This window comes from Homo sapiens, chromosome 9, assembly GCF_000001405.40.
Source record: "Homo sapiens chromosome 9, GRCh38.p14 Primary Assembly".
Taxonomy (NCBI): domain Eukaryota; kingdom Metazoa; phylum Chordata; class Mammalia; order Primates; family Hominidae; genus Homo; species Homo sapiens.
Genome location: NC_000009.12, coordinates 123,849,794 through 123,866,730, shown reverse-complemented (window position 1 = coordinate 123,866,730; position 16,937 = coordinate 123,849,794). Strand labels below are relative to the sequence as shown.

The 16,937-nt window shown below is 39.2% G+C and overlaps 1 protein-coding gene across 28 annotated transcripts in view, besides 2 other annotated features; it reads left to right on the top strand.

The window, feature by feature from the left end:
- DENND1A (DENN domain containing 1A) overlaps positions 1-16,937 on the top strand; it is a 550,469-nt gene that overhangs the window by 63,396 nt on the left and 470,136 nt on the right. The gene's annotated exons all lie outside the window — the stretch shown is intronic.
- Positions 2,778-3,319: an enhancer, noted in NCBI's record as "OCT4-NANOG-H3K27ac hESC enhancer chr9:126625691-126626232 (GRCh37/hg19 assembly coordinates)". NCBI's record gives its function as "activates a minimal SCP1, AML or CMV promoter by ChIP-STARR-seq in primed H9 embryonic stem cells {active_cell/tissue: H9 hESC(primed)}" and the evidence as "EXISTENCE:reporter gene assay evidence [ECO:0000049][PMID:30033119]".
- Positions 3,320-3,862: an enhancer, noted in NCBI's record as "OCT4-NANOG-H3K27ac hESC enhancer chr9:126625148-126625690 (GRCh37/hg19 assembly coordinates)". NCBI's record gives its function as "activates a minimal SCP1, AML or CMV promoter by ChIP-STARR-seq in naive and primed H9 embryonic stem cells {active_cell/tissue: H9 hESC(naive and primed)}" and the evidence as "EXISTENCE:reporter gene assay evidence [ECO:0000049][PMID:30033119]".

Sequence of the window (16,937 nt, the reverse complement as noted above, 5' to 3'; positions counted from 1 at the left end):
AATATGTACTAAAATGCTCAGCACAGGAAGTGGTACAAACCAGCATTCTTGTGGTGATGTAATTTAACGTCACCCTTAAATTAAAAACATAAAAACCCTAAACTCCAAACCAAAATCAAACAACACAACTTCCGGAAATTGTGCTATCATTAAGAAATGAAATTTTTGTGATAGAATTTATGTAAATTCCTTTTTGAAGGGATTCAAATATTAGAATGATAGTCATTATTACTATATGAAAGATATGACAACTTGATAAAAAGAACACTGCCTGAACTGACTAATTTTCTTTTTCAGAAAATGTAGAATTAATTCTGAGTTGTTCCCAGAAAAACACACTTTGGGCACATGAATAATTCAACCTATATATTTTTTTCTTCCACTTATGTGTCACAGTTTAACAAGAACCCAGTGATCAATCCTCAGCTACCAGAGTTTTTATTTAAACTGTCTACTTGTGAGAAAGAGCCAGATGCTGAGAAAATAAGCTAGGATTAGAAATGTATTAAAACAACCCATTTCTGGAATATGGTCTAAAGTTTGTGTGTATTTAGCCCAGTTTTCTGTCCTCGCAGTAATGATCCTGATACTCAGAATGATAGAATTGACTTCTTGAACATAAAGCACATTTTCCATTGGTTTGTTAGGTTGTGCTTACCATGAAAGGAAAAGTGACAAAAGTATTTGGGAAAGATTTTATACACAGACCAAAATGAAAAATATTTTCATCATGGCCGTCCAGGAAGTAGAAAATCAGCTAAGTGCTAAGTGGAACATTCATTTCCTCTTTCTAGTATTTTGGTTAACGGAAATACATCCCCCCAAAATGCCCCCAAAATATAGTTAGAGAAATTTGGTTTAGAGGATGGTTTCTAGAGTCAGGTCATGTGGGTCAAAATTCTGGCTCCCCTACTTAGGACATATCCCTGTGTAATTTTGGGCAAATTACTTAATTTCCTTCCTTGTTTTAGTTCCCTATGCTGTAAAATGGGGATAAATGGGGATGATGATAATATCTCATATTATCATCACATTTGAGGATTCAGAAACACAGTATTTAAAGAATTAAGCACAGGGCATGGCACAGAGTTTCTCTCAGTTTGAACTATCATGAAGAAAAACATGAAATTTGTTTTGATCCTTCAAACTGGAAATTGAGGATCATCAGGAGTCTGCCCTGGGGGGACATCCCCTGATCCTGTCCTCCTCATTCTGAGCCTTCTCATTCTGCACACATGGTGGAGGGGCCCTGGGACCAGTCCTAAGGCAGTTCCAGGCCCAGGGCCTTGGGAATGCTGCTTTAGGTTTCTTTCTTACCTCTAACAGCCCCAGCAAGTCCAGTTTAGGCTTTAAAAAAGTTCTTAATCCCTGGGGTGGACCCTGGAACAAGCTGACCTAATTTCTCTTGTTTTTGCTGAATGGAAATTGAGTTGACTTGGGTTTTATTTAGGCTTCGTGGGGCCTGCTGCAGGATCAAAGCTCAGGTCTAGACCCAATTGAAGTTGAGATTTAGATTTAGAGCTGACCACTGCTACATTTTTCACTTCTTGTTTTGAAAGCTTTTTTTTAATTACACAGTTTATTCAGCAATATTTATTATAAATGCGAAAGGTGCTGGGGATGGGTGAGGACATTCCAGCAGAAGGAAGAGCATCTGCAAAGCTATGGAGGGATATTTAATTTTCTTTTTATTAATCAAAAATATGACTCAGGTTCTGATTAGTATGTAGGGACCCTGTACAGTCATGCTCAGTCTAAGAATATCAGCTCCAAGAGGGCAAGGATCATTTACTTGGTTCACTGATGTGTCCCCAGCACCTAGAACAGTGACTGGAATGTAGTAGGCACTCAGTGTGTATTTGTTGGACCAATAAATGAGTTGACACAATTCCAACTGATTGCAGAGAACCTAGATATTTTGATTCATCTCCACAGTTTTATTGTTGATAAATATCTCATTTCCAGTAGGTTGAATGGCTACTCCATTTGCTGTATTGTTTTTTTAATGGAAATTCATGGGTAGGTCTAGGGGGAGGGCATTTATATTAGCGGCAGGAGTTCTGCTGCAGTTTTCTCTCCCGCGATTTTTCTGGAAGATGTTATTCTGCCTTTTCTATGAGCAGACGTGCTTAGGACGAAAAGTTTAAAGGAAGGCGCTCTCACATTCGTCTCCCTGGGCGAGGAATGCCTTTTCCTCCCCATTTACCAAGTGTCCATCAGACTTCCCACAGTACAATGAGGCATTTACCCCGGGCCTCGGCGTCAGCCTGTACTTTTTACATTTTAGGCTTTTTCTGCCACCCCTGGGAAACTGCCCTGTGGTCTGGAATCATGGGAATTTGTGTCACTAAAAGCTGTTTCCCCACCCTCTCCTCTAGCAGAAGCAGTGTGTGTATACAGCAGGAAGAGCTTTGGACTTGGGTTTTAATTATGGCTCTGCAACTAATAGTGATCTGACCTTGGGGAAATTATTCATCTTTTTTTGGTTGAATTTTCTCATTTGCAAATAAAACTTGGATAATGCTTATCTTTTAGAATTGCCATGAGGATTAAATAAAATACTAATCATAAAATAATTAACAGTGCCTGGTTAGTTTTCTTTCTTCTGTCACATCAAATCATTGTTTTCCACTCTTTTAGCTTCTTGGCACAAAAGGACAGCTATATTATTTTTCATAGTGTAGAGGACTATAGAGTCTTTGAAACTCTCGATAATGATTTTCTGTGTGTTTTTTTTTTTTGAGTGAAGCAATATGGAGTTTTGTTAATATATTTTCAATGACATGGAAACAGTCCTTTAAAAAAAAAATCTCATATATTTAATTTAAAACTTTTCCAGACTATGAACCTAAAGTCAGGATCTTCGGATATAGTTCTTGTGCCCATACTCAGCTTCCTATAGAGGACATAGCATGTTTAAGCTTTGGGGAGAGAGAGAAAAATATATGTGTGGTGAAAGAGATATTTTAGCCTGCTTTTGTAACTTTAGCTTTGCTATGCAATGTGCCAAAAGTTATTTCTCCCTAGGGAGTGCCTCTTTCAACAGTTTGCGAAGGCAGCATAAATTCTCACTTGGTGTTCAAGGAAGATGGTAATACAATTTAGTACAACCAAAGTTGTTTTTTTTTTTTTTAACTTGTTAGAAACCAAAATGTGATTGCAGTGGCAAATTTGTCAGCACACTCGAGTTTAACAAGTGTTCGAAGGATTAGTAAAGGAAATGTAGTTTACTCTGCAGCTTTTATGACAAAGAATTTAAAAGGTTTTGCTCTAAGCCCCACCATGTGTTTCTTCCTTTTCTCCAAAACATACCTTTAAGTTGAAAAGAGAGATGAATCTCTTAGGGAGAAACTATTAACTCTGAGGGAGTTTATCATTGTTTGAGAGGAAGCAGAGCATTTACATTTGAATCAACTCTGAGTGTAGCTTGTGCCCTAATCTCATTCCTTCTAGAAGTTGGTGAGGAGTTTAAGTACTTCCTACTTTGTGTTCTGGTCCTCATAGTGCCATCCTAATTTTCCTGGGGATCATACATTTCGTAATTCAAAGTAAGCAAACTGGACACGGTGCCTTGGTTATGCATGGAAATATTTTCTGTAGTTGTCAAAGTTCTCTAAGTAGGGCCATTGGCCAGAATTGTCTCATTGTCATCGCACTTATTACCATGCTAAAAATGCTATAAAAAAGACCAAATACTACAGAAAGTTTGAAAAAGAGATAAAATATAAGCACCTCCATCACAATCCTATTTTCAAGTTTTGAAGATTCCCATTTGATGTATTTGCAGTTGAGGTACAGTTTAAATGAGAGAAAGCAAGATCTTAATGTTGACCACAAACATTTTCATCAGTTTTTCATGGCTGCATCAGAGTTTTATAGTTTGATCAACTAGCTCCTGATTGTTATACATATAAATCAGCTCCTTTAAAATAAGACCAGTTAATACTACTCTCTTATTTGTGGACTTCTGTGGCCAAATCTTTGGTACTGCCTTTTTTCGGGGGTGAGGGGTGGTGGATGGGAAGGAAGGTAGAGGAACAGAGAGAGGCTGACTGTGCCAAAGATAAACTATGTTACAGATGGAAATGTTTTTTTCTAAGTCCAAAATCTATAAGAAACCTTAAAGTGAGCCATTTTCTGAGATCAAAAATGTGTAAACTTGTGTTAGTGTTTTGCTCTGTGGTGAATGAAAGCACCACTACTTTTTAAAAAGCCACATTTATGGATCTTTAGGTTCTTTTAATACTTGCTTCTATGTTTTACTTTTTAATTTTACTTGAAGAACATTCTTCTGATGGAGGATTTAGGTCATGTTAGCTCAAAGAAAATAGAAACCATCTACCTAAAGACTTGGTGGGAGAAATTCTTTGTATTTGCTCTCATATCTTGTTAGACAGCTGTGTTCCGGACTCAGGACTGGATTTTGCTTTTGTAGCAGCTGTGAGATCCTCACCTTACAAACATAAAATGTTCCTGCTAAAAGTTTATTTATGTGACTAGGGACCATCATTGAAACCCATCCCAAAGAAATGGAATGTATATAATATACTTTATGGGTGTCAGATGAAGAACTCTTGTTGGAGCTAGTGTTTAATTAAACCCAATGGCCTTTAAGAATTAAAAAAAAATTTTTTTTTATTAGGAATTAGTACGTTAGAGCTTGGAAGTAGCTTATGTTCATTCCTTAGCGGTTGGGACAAGAATTTTGCTTTTGCTGAAAGAGCCTGTGTAGTATGGTACTAGCTTAAAATGATTTGCCTGGCATTTGCACTGGGCATATTTGGAAAGGAAAGCCTCTTTGTGTTGTGCATTTAAAAAAAGTGTCTGTAAGTGTGCTTAGAAAATGGCAGCATTTGCTGGTCTTGGCTGTCAATGTCTTGCTGCTCCTAACTGTGTTTAACCAGAAAGGGAAACTCAGAGTAGAAAAAGTCTCACTCCCAAGACTTTACAAGAAAACCCCTCTTTGTTGATTTATATATATATTTTTTAAAGGAGCTTGACATCTTCATCAAGTTCACAGTGGGCTTGCTTTGTTTGCTTTCTCTTGAATGCTTGATAAGATTTTTCTTCTATTGTTTTGTGCAGCAAGAACAGATCTTTCCATGGCTGGGGTGGGTTTTTTGTAAATCCACAATATGGTCATTGTCTGGTGGTGAATAATTGTGGCTGCTTTTTGTACAACCAGAACTAAGGCTTTGGCTGTGAACAGATTCCTTCTTAGCGTGAAAAGGGACTAATCCATGTAAATACAGCCCCAAAATAAAGCTTTACAGAAAAAGGGGAAGGCCGCTAAGCAGGAGGGCACAGGTCAGCAATTTAACCTTTAACCTAACAAATAAGAAGCATGAAAGTTCCAGAATTGGTTTACAAAAGAAAGCTCCTGTGATCTGTCAGTTTTTCTTTTCAGGAGGGAACTGGGTGAGAGATCTGACTGACAGCTAGTGCCTTTTAACTGCAGACTGAAATTAACTGCCAAATTGAAACTTGAATATTTGAAGGAGAATTTTTCTTAAATAAATTGAGATGGCAGAATAGGCCTTATAAGCACTGGTCAGGGTCTTACATGGGATTTTTATCCTGGAAGGGGGTTGGGGGAGGAATAGGCATTGGACTGGACTACCTTAAGATCCCTTCCAAGTTTGATAAAGAGAATGTGGTCTGACTCTTACTAGTCAAATTAGACATGAACTTTGCAGTTTAAGGCCAGATGAAACTCCCCTTCCGTAGTATTATCACTGATTACCCTTTGTAGACTTTTCATGGCTTCATAAATTAATTGCAGCCTTTACTAAAGATTTAAGAGCTTTTTGTAAATGTTATTGATGTTTTCCACAAAACATTAATTACGAAAAGATAGCCATCTTGAGATTTCACAATATGCACAACTTTTATGGCCCAGTGCATTATGAGAAACTCTATTGTGTGGTGCCGAGCACTGTAAAGCGGAGGACATAGGCTTTCTTTCATGTACTGCTGTTTTGTTCCGCATGCTTAGGCATTATTAGCAGATACAACTGAGTAAGCTAAAGCAGCAGAGATGAAGTATAGGTGTTTATTAGGCAATGCACTGGGGAAATGGGAAGCTGTGAAAAATGAGGGACTGCCTTGTCTGTTCCATGGGCTTGAAGAGTTAAGAAAATAAGGTTTGTGTAGAGTGGTAAGTCTTACTTTTGTGCTGTTGTACTCATTTACAAACTTTGCAAACAGTTTGTATTTATTTAATCACAATAGGTAATCTTGTTAATGAGTGTTAGTTTTTGCTTAAAGCATAAGAGATCTGATGTCAGCTGTTCTATCTCACTATGGAGAATTCTGTAACTGATAGAAACTTTAATTACTGGGAATCATTCAGATTAAAAACAAACAATGAACGAATGACTAGAGTAGGCTCCCTGTAGAATAATAGAATAATATAAGAATAGTCATTATACTATGTAACAAAACAAAATGTCAGGGGTGATTCTGTTTTAGTTTTTCAGTTGTCCATGGTATATTTGTCTAGGTTGTCTAAAATTTGTTCTAAGGGCTTATTGACCTACCTCAGTTTCCCTAAAGTATTTAGAGACCAGAGACAACGTAACGTTGCAGATTAAAATGAGCATAAAGTTAAGTGGCCACCCTCACTTAGCTCAGGCGTGCACCTTCTCTTTCCTAGCTGATTACCATGGCCTCCTAACTGGCCTTTATGCTTTCCTTCACATCCATATTTAATGCTGTCATCTCAGCAATCTTTTAAAAACACAGCTGAGACCACAATATTCCCTTTGTAACACCTTTCTGTGGTCCTCTGTCACCCCAAGCTAAAGTCAAGCTCATTAGCAGGGCAAATGAGGTCTTCCATGCTCCATCCTTTCCCTATCCAGCTTCATCTTAGTCCACTCCTCTCCTCTCCTTTTAAATATGCATTTCCCAATATGTCTCAACCAAATTTCATACATTTTTTAAAATTTCCATATTATATTTGGCTTCCCCCAAATGTAAGAAGGTCTAATATCTTTAAAATGGGGAATCTAATGATGATGGCTTTGCAAATGGCTAGCATTTGTATAGGCTTCACACTTTGTAAGCATTCCCATGTTCTTTTATTTAATCTTCACAGCAACGATGCAGAATGGGCAATGTTTTCTGGGAGATGCTTGATGAATATTTGGATGGATGGATGAATAAATGAATGAGTGGTGCATGGAGTCAGAAAACTGGAGTTACAGTCCAAATTCTTATTAACCATGTAATTTTAAATAGGTAATTTAACCTCTCTGAACCTATTTGCTAATCTGTAAAATTAGGTCTATACCTGCATTGTCTGTCACACTAGATGGCAAAATAATGAAATAATGTGTAGTAAATAGAAATACCATTCAAAATGTAAACCCCATGCAAATGTTAGTTCCTGTTATTAATATTCTTAATTTATTCCAGGTCCTGTAAATGAAGAGAAAGTGTTCATGGATATAGATAGATTTGTGTTTTAATGACTAAAAGGACATCAGAACTGTTTTTATTTATGTAGAAAAGTGTAAGCCTATTTTGTTAGCATACAGAAAACTGTATACTATTGTTTCCTTTTATAAAGAAAATGTCAGGTTTATACTGTTAGTAAGTGCTAACAAAGGTGCACATACTGTATGGTAGGTGGATGTTCAGATACAGTATCTAGAGGTTCCTTTTTGCTATGCATTCTTCCTGGATTGGTTCTCAAGAACCTTAGGGCTATGTTTGCCTTCTAGCTCTGTGAACTACACATGACTATTTTAGTATGTTATTATTTTTGTATGGATTTTTTTGGTATGCATTTTTGTATGCTATTATAATCCCTGGCATAATCTTTCCTCCTTTTATTTTCCCTTTGTCCTTACACCCTCGGTTTACATGTGTATTTTTAATCTTTTAACTATAAGTATTTTTGTAAGTCATTTCAAATTGTTTATGGAATGTGGTGGATGATAAATTCTCCAAGTAAGATCTCAGTCACACTTGGTTTCTCCTATTGCCTACAGACTGATCATTTCTCAGCTTGTGTCTTTGGCCCTGACTTCCGAGTGCCAGACCTGGGTCCTCAGCTCTCTGTCCGTAGCTGTTTCTCCATCCTACATGGGCATCTCAAATTGAATTTAACCTCCTCCCCTCGACCAACCTTTTACCCCCACTGCCAGTCACCTAGCAAAACAAAATGGAAACGCCGATCCTAATCCTAAACTGTTCCTTCTATCCACGGTCTTGTTGAAGGGCATTTGTACCCACTCACTTACTAATGCTAGAAGCCTGAAAGTCACCCTAGACTCTCACCCTACATCCAATTAAATCTGAGTATTTTTTAAAGATTTAAAAAAAGCTTTAGAAAGATTTTAAACAATATCAAAGTTACAGAAAAGTTGTAATTGCACTGCAAATAATTTTTTCTTCTGCACAATTTGGGAATAAGTTACTGATCTCAACCTCGACTACGTCAGTCGACTATGTCGACTACTGCAAACAAGGTGATTCTCCTGCACAACCACAATGTGGTATCAAAGTGAGGAAATTAACATTGATACCGTACTACCATCTAATTCTCAGTTTTGGCACTTGTCCCAGTAATGTTCTTTAAAGCAAAAGGATTCTGTTCAGAATCACAAATTGCGTTTAGTTTATTTAATGTTTCTTTCTTTCTTTTCTTTTTTTTTTTTTTTTTTGAGACGGAGTCTCGCTCTGTCGCCCAGGCTGGAGTGCAGTGGCAAGATCTCTGCTCACTGCAAGCTCCGCCTCCCGGGTTCACGCCATTCTCCTGCCTCAGCTTCCTGAGTAGCTGGGACTACAGGCGTCCGCCACCACGCCCAGCTAATTTTTTGTATTTTTAGTAGAGATGGGGTTTCACTGTGTTAGCCAGGATGGTCTCGATCTCCTGACCTCGTGATCCACCCGCCTCGGCCTCCCGAAGTGCTGGGATTACAGGTGTGAGCCACTGCCCCTGGCCAGTTTAATGTTTCTTTAGTCTCCCTTAGGAAAGGTTCTCAGTCTTTCCTTGACTTTGATGACCTTGACATTTGAAGGTTACAAGCCTCAATTTGGGTTTGTCTGGTGTTTCCTTATGATTAGGTTTAGGTTGAGCATCTTGAGTGGAAATATTATAGAAGTGATGCTGTGCTTTTCTTGTTATATCACATAATACACAATTTTGATTTGGCCCTTTACTGGTGATGATCTTTTGATCACTTGATTAAAGTAGTCTTTGCCAGGCTTGTCTACTGAAAAGTTCCTCCTTACTTACTCCTTTTTAATTAACAATTGTTTTGGGGGAAAGTACTTTGAAATTATGTAAATATTCCATTTCTCATTAAACTTTCAGTTTATTTGTTTATTTGACTTTGGACTTACTCCTTTCTTATTCAAGGTTGTTACTGAATTGTTCAAATTATTTGAGTGAATTGAATTATTCAATTTGTTCCAGCTTTGATCATTAGGAGCCAACTTGAAGGGCTCTTGTGTTCTTTTGACTGGTCCTCATCATTCTCTGGGTTCTCCTTTGCTTTCTGGTGCAAGATGTTCTGTGCTCATCTTTTAGTTTCTTTTCCTTAGCCATGAAATCTGCCATTTTCCCAAGGTTCCTTTTGGTGGAGAATGCTATTTAAAAGCCAAAATTTTGATTCTATGTGTGTTCATTGCTATGGTGGTGTTGCTGCTTCTAGGCCTTCTTGGTGGTCAGGGTCAGAGAGTACATCTATATGTATTTCTGCATCTATCTGTGTATATTGAAAAGTGTGAGTCCACACCAGTACTTCCGATTTCAACCAATACCACCGATTCATTCAAGTTTTCTCCCTTTCCATATTTGTAACTTCTCTCTTCAACTGTGAGAAGCCTGGTTCCCATTATCCTTAATATATTTACTTATTAATCCCTTGTACATGACTACTCTGTCATCATGGCTGCCACCAATGCCTACCCAGTGTGGATGTCTTCCTTAACTCAATTGGGGCTCTGATACCCTGTGTCGCTCTGCCTCTTCTGCCTGAATGCCCACCTCATCCACCTTGGTCTTTGACAAGCCCTGCCAGGCTGGTCCTTCTGTGTGGGTGCTCTCTTCACTTTGAATTTTGACACCCCGTGCATGGCTGCCATGTCCTTCCATGTTGTTCCCTGCATAATCCTCCTCAGGATCTGACACCCTATCAGGTGGCCCCTGCATGGAAAGTTCCTTACCCTGCTCAGGTGCTCTGACACCTCACACCAGATCATCTTTTAACATGGACACGCTTCTCAAACTGCGTTGACACTGACACCCCCTGCCATGCAGCTGTTCCCTGTGGATGACTGTGTATCCCTGCTTGGGCTTTTTCTCCCCACACTAGTTCACTCTCCTCTGTGGGCACCCTTGTCACAATTGGGTTCTGACACCCTATGTTAGATTACTCTAGACAGTGTGGGCGCTCTTCTCGCACTGGTTGCACTTTGAGTCCCCATATTGTGCAAGCCCTCCTATGTGGATGCCATCCTTACCTACTCTGGACTACTGTGGCTACTTCTCACCAAGTATGGACGTGTACCTCGACTTAAGGATTAAATTGTCAATTAGGAAGAGAAAGTAAAGTCTAATTTCTTGATCTTTTCCTATGTTTTTTTCTCCCTTGTTATCCAATTCATTGCCATTGACTTAGTTCTGGCCTTCCTTATTCTTTCTTGGATTACTGCCACTTAATTGGTTTTCTTTATTTTTGAGACGGAGTTTTGCTCTTGTTGCCCAGGCTGGAGTGCAATGGCGCGATCTCGGCTCAATGCAACCTCCGCCTCCCGGGTTCAAGCGATTTTCCTGCCTCAGCCTCCCGAGTAGCTGGGATTACAGGCATGTGCCACCATGCCTGACTAATTTTCTATTTTTAGCAGAGGTGGGGTTTCTCCATGTTGGTCAGGCTGGTCTTGAACTCCCGACCTCAGGTGATCCGCCTGCCTCAGCCTCACAAAGTGCTGGGATTACAGGTGTGAGCCGCCGCACCTGGACACTTAATTGGTTTCCTTAGCTGGAGTCTTATCCCTTCCAACCCCTTTTCTTCTGTCCTGCTGTCATAATGTGTGTTTTAAACAAATATAATCATGCCAGTCTTCTGCTTAAACCTTATAATGCCTCTTCATTACCTACAGGGTAATACTCAAATCTTAGCGTGGCACAGAAGGCTCCTCATCACTTGGCTGACCTCTCCTCCTTTGTCGCTCACTACTGCCTGTCATTGACCTTCTGCACTAGCTGAGCCACTTTAGTCTATTTTCTTTCATACCTTAGGATCTGGTCTTTCTCTTTTCTGTACAATACTCTTTCTCCCTATTTTCCTGGTTTATTTCCATTGTCCTTTATAACTTAGACAAGGTGCCACCTCTTTTAGGAGGCCTTCTCTAATCCTCCATTTTTTTCTGTCTACCCTTGCTTCCCCCTCTCTGCCATCCTTCACAGACTTGGTTAGATACCCTCCCTCTTGGCACCCTGCATATCGTATTATAATTGTCTTTTCTGTTTTTCTTGAGGGCAGGAACCTTCTTGCTTGAATTCTCCCTTGAAGAATAATCGTATTCAGTAGGTAGCTAGCTAAATGAAGAGATATTTAAAAATATCTCATTCAGTGGAATTTGTTATGTCCAAATAAGCAAGGCAATGTTAGTATCAGTTGTTTGTGAGGCTTTTGAAATAGCTCCATTTACATAGAACTGGACATTATAATTGTGTTTTTTAGAGTGGAGTTTTACCTATGGTTACATTTACTTCTAGAGTATCTCCAGGGACTTATCTTGTTTTTCTTAGCAAGGTAGAAAAGAGATTTAGAGTATATGAAGGATCGGTTCATTATCTTCTATTTCCCTTCCACTGCATTTATTACCACTTTGCATGCAGTAGGTTGTGGCAATGTCTGGTACTATCTCGGTAGCTGATAAGATGAAGATATATTCGACCAAGAGACAGAAGAGGAGAGAGAAACTTCATGTGAACTGGTAACCATTTGCTTAAATTGATTAAATCAGTTGCTTCATTTTTTATTTCATTTTACTTATTTTTATTTTTATTTTTTTTTTGAGACAGAGTATCACTCTGTCACCCAGGCTGGAGTGCAATGGCATGATCTCAGCTCACTGCACCCTCTGCGTCCTGGGTTCAAGTGATTCTCCTGCCTCAGCCTCCTGAGTAGCTGGGACTACAGGTGCATGCCACCATACCCGGCTAATTTTTGTATTTTTAGTAGAGCTAGGTTTTACTATGTTGGCCAGGCTGGTCTCAAACTCCTGACCTCAGGTGATCCACCCACCTCGGCCTCCCAAAGTGCTGGGATTACAGGTGTGAACCACCGTGCCCAGCTTCATTTTTTATTTTTTTGTTTTACTTTGCTTTCTGGGTCATTTTGAATTTTATTTTTAAATCTGAGACAAAATATTAAACATCTGGGTCCTATTACATGTAGACGTTCTTTACAAATGTTGTGATTGGGATCAAGGAACAGTCTGAAGTTCCCGGGCAGGAGAATCAGCTGAGGGCTAGGATGAATGTTGCCATTTGTGTTGAGAGACCAGCAAGGTTGATTTTTGCCAGCAGAAATGTAGAAAGAATGATCTTGCTCAAAATGAGTTAATGCAGTGGGTTAAAAATGAATTTGTAAATACTTTCATCTGCCTCAGTTATTGCTGCCTAATATTTGTTTCACCCACGGTTTCTCTTTTCCTGCAAATTATGTGTACAGTGTGATTGACTTTCTAAAGGTGTTGATATATACTAATATATCCTAATATTCTAAAGGTGATGATACATATATTTTTTTTCCCATGAAAATATCTTAGAAGTAGGTGTATTGTAATAGTTACCTAAAGGAAATGCTTCTTAATCTGAGACATTTTCCGGCCCATTGAGAGGAACAGTAGCTTTTTTGAGAGGCTGGCATCTCAAGATAGAAAGATGTCTCTAAGTATTGCCCTGGAGTGCTACTGAATGATTTCTTTACTCTGTCATTGAGCCCTTATTGTGTCAAAAAACAAATCTCTTGGAGACCCTCACAGAAAGATTTGTTTCCTAAAACCTGAGTGCTAGCTAGAGCTCATAATTTTTGTGTTTTTTTGAGACAGAGTCTCACTCTGTCACCCAGGCTGGAGTACAGTGGTGTGATCTCGGCTCACTGCAACCTCTGTCTCCCAGGTTCAAGTGATTCTCATGCCTCAGCCTCCCATGTAGCTGGGATTACAGGCGCCTGCCACCATGCCTGGCTAATTTCTGTATTTTTAGTAGAGATGGGGTTTTACCAGGTTGGCCAGGCTGGTCTCGAACTCCTGAACTCAAGTCATCCGCCTACCTCACCCTCCCAAAGTGCTGGGATTACAGGTGTGAGCCACCACGCCCGGCCTAGAGCTCATAATTTCAGTCTCCTCAATTTAAGGGGTTTTTACAAAAGTGTTCCAAATGAAATATTTTCTCCCCCGCTTCTATTCTTTTGTACAACAGTTGAGGAGTCAACCTATACTTGCCTTATTGATAACTGATCACTGGTTATTTATAATAAAATTTAAAGGCTGGGCGTGGTGGCTCATGCCTGTAATCCCAGCACTTTGGGAGGCTGAGACCGGCGGATCATGAGGTCAGAAGTTCGAGACCAGCCTGGCCAACATGGTGAAACCTCGTGTCTACTAAAAATAATAAAATTAGCTGGATGTGGTGGTGTTCACCTGTAATCCCAGTTACTTGGGGAGGCTGAGGCAGGAGAATGGCTTTAACCCAGGCGGTGGAGGTTGCAGTGAGCCAAGATTATGCCACTGCATTCTAGCCTGGGTGACAGAGCAGGATTCCATCTCAAAACCAAAAAAGAAAAAAAGAAAAAAAAAAGAAAGAAAAACAATTTAAAATGAAACATCTTTGGAAGGTTTTTTCTTTCTTTTTAAAAACTAGTTGCACTCTTATCAGCCAATGTTTTTGAGCTGTGTCAGGCTATTAAAATGCAGGTTTATAGGGTGGTGTTTTCAGGATGTTCCTGAGAATCAGTCCTGAGTTTCAGTATTCCCTCTGCTGCTGTGGTGGATAAGGTGAACATTCTTATTTTTAATTGCTTAGCTTTCCTAAATGTTTAACTGAGGCCCGTCGCATAAGTGCACTGGGAGTGTGCTGTTATATTCATTAGTGTGGCTTTGGATGGCCTGAGTCCATGACAGACTGGCTTTCTTCATATACTTATTCATAAATTCAAACAAGTCTTTGAAGGACTTAATGCTATGGATATAAATAAAACACTTTCTTTTTGAGGAGTTTACATCTGATGAGGGAAATAAATAGTCAACCAGTAGCCATACATTATTTGGGATAAATAGAGACAGGCACAAAGTGCTGTGGCAGCTCAGCAGAGGCAGCAGGGAGCAAACAGTTTTATACCCAGTTGCTATGGAAATCTGTGTATCCTCAGCCTCCCCAAGGTCCCCAAAAGTGCCATCCTTACATCAGCAGCTCAGACCCCTCAATCTCCGGAACTAAATCAGGCTTAGGTGAGGATGAGAAACTTAGATATGACTTCTTAAGTATAGCTTCTCAAGTACAGGCCCTCTCAATTTGTAAACTAAAGAGAGAAGTTAACTGTTCCCCGTCCCTACCACCACCACTCTTCCCCAGAGTGTAATGGCGGGACAGGCAGAAGATAACTGCCGAAGACACTGATTGTTTAAAAGGGGGCCAGCAGGAGGCACGTTGGAGCACATAGCACTCAATAGCGGTCCCCAAATACGCTGGGCAAATGTTGGAAGTTTCCTGATGGAGACTCAGTCCTGCTCTAGCCTGAGAGTGGCTCACCATGGCTCTTAGTTCTACCTTCTGGGCTTTTGGATTCTGAATCGTCCTTCTTTAAATAAAAGAGAACCTGTGTTTGCAACTGAGTGGTTTCTCAGCCTGCTTCTGGTCTGTAAAGTTTAGTGAGTCAACAGCCTATTGTTTTTTCATTTGTATTTTCTTTGTTCCTTTCAGTCCAGGCTAGCTGTGTTTCTCCCCGTAGGAGCCTCTTAAAAACTCCTTTGTTGTCCTGTGAATCTGCTGGAGTTTACTCCTTGACATAATATTCATACCCACAAATGTCTTTGAGATAAGCCCGCCTTTTCTACTTTGGTTTTCTAGTGAGACCACTGAGGAACAACAGTTGTAAGCTTCTTAGAAGCCCTGTTGTTTAACTGAATGGTTCTCTATGATGGTGCCACCTTAGGTCTTTTGGAGGTCTTGCAAAGAATTTTAAAATCACCCCCTTAGCTTTTTCTTATCCTAAGAGTACCCTGGATTTGATCTTTACCCAGAGGCCATTTCGTAATTTTAACATCATTTATTGTCTGGAGAGGCTAGAAAGGAGTAAACAAATTGAGTTCTATACATAGAATAGTAGTAATAAAAAGGAACAAGGTATTGCTATATTCAACAACATGGATGGATCTCAACATAATTATCTTGAGTGAAAGAAGCCAGACAAAAAGAGTACATACTTTCTGATTCCATTTATATAAAAGCCTAGAAAGTACAAACTAATGTATAGTGACAGAAAGCACACCAGTGGTTCCCTAGGGATGGGTGGTGGGGAGTGCAGCAGGAGGGATAGATTACGGAGGAGCACAAAGAAACTTTTGGGGTTGATTGATTGTGGTGATGGTTTAATGGATGTACACATATGTCAAAACTCATCAAATTATACACTTCCATGCTTGTGTTTTCTTATTTTTTTTTCATTCTTGTGTTGAAGACGTGTCTCTTGAAAGCAATATATAGTTGGATCTTTTAAAATCCAGTCATCTTACCTGTATTTTTTACTGGAAATGCTTTTTATGCTTCATTTTTTTATTCCTTTCTTTTGGATTATTTAAGCATTTTAATCATTCAATTTTTTCCCTTTTATCATTTGGGACTTAAATACTATTTCTGTGCCTTTAACTGATACACTGAAAATAATGGTGGCTATGACTTAGTAGTGCTTATTTTATACCAGTCATTGTTTTATATGCTTTACCTATATTAACTCTTTTAATCATCACAAAAACCCTATGGGATAGATACTGTTACTGTCTCAATTTTACAGATGGGGAAACCATGGCATGGCGAGCTTATGTAATCTGTCCAAGGCCACAGAGCTATCAAGTAGTAGGGCTGGGATTTGAACCCAGGTCGTGTGCTTTCAGTGTCCATAATGTTAACTAATACAGGCATACCTCAGAGATATTGCAGGTTCAGTTTAGTTGCAGACCACAATAAAGTGAATAGCGCAATAAAGTGAGTCACAAATTTATTTGGTGTCCCAATGCATGTAAAGTTATGTTTATACTCTACTATTGTCTATTAATTGTATAATAGCATTATGTTTAAAAAGGTACATATCATGATTTAAAAATATTTTATTGCTAAAAATTGCTAACAATCAACTTGTAATCTTTTTGATCGCAAACGATCTTGTCTAAATGTTGATGGCTACCGGCTGGTCAGGATGGTGGCTGCTGAAGGCTGGGATGGCTGTGGCAATTTTTTAAAGTAAGACAGCAATGAAGTTTGCTGCATTGATTGACTCTTCCTTTCACGAAAGATTACTCTGTAGGATGTGATGCTCTTTAATAGCATTTTACCCCCAGTCGAACTCCTTTTAGAATCGGAAACCTCTCAAACGCTGCTACTGGTTTATCAACCAGGTTTGTGTAATATTATAAATGCTTTCTTGTCATTTCAACAATGTTTACAATGTTTTCACCAAAAGTAGTTTCCATCTCAAGAAAGGACATTCTTTGCTCATTTGTAAGAAGCAACTTCTCATCCATTCAAATTTTATCATGAGATCGCAGCAATTCAGTCCCATTTTCAGGTTCTGCTTTTAGTTCTGGTTCTCTTGTAGCTTCTATCACATCTGCATTACTTCCTCCACTGAAGTCTTAAATACCTCAATGTCATCCAGGAGGGCTGGAATCAGCTTCTTCCAAACTCTTGTTAATGT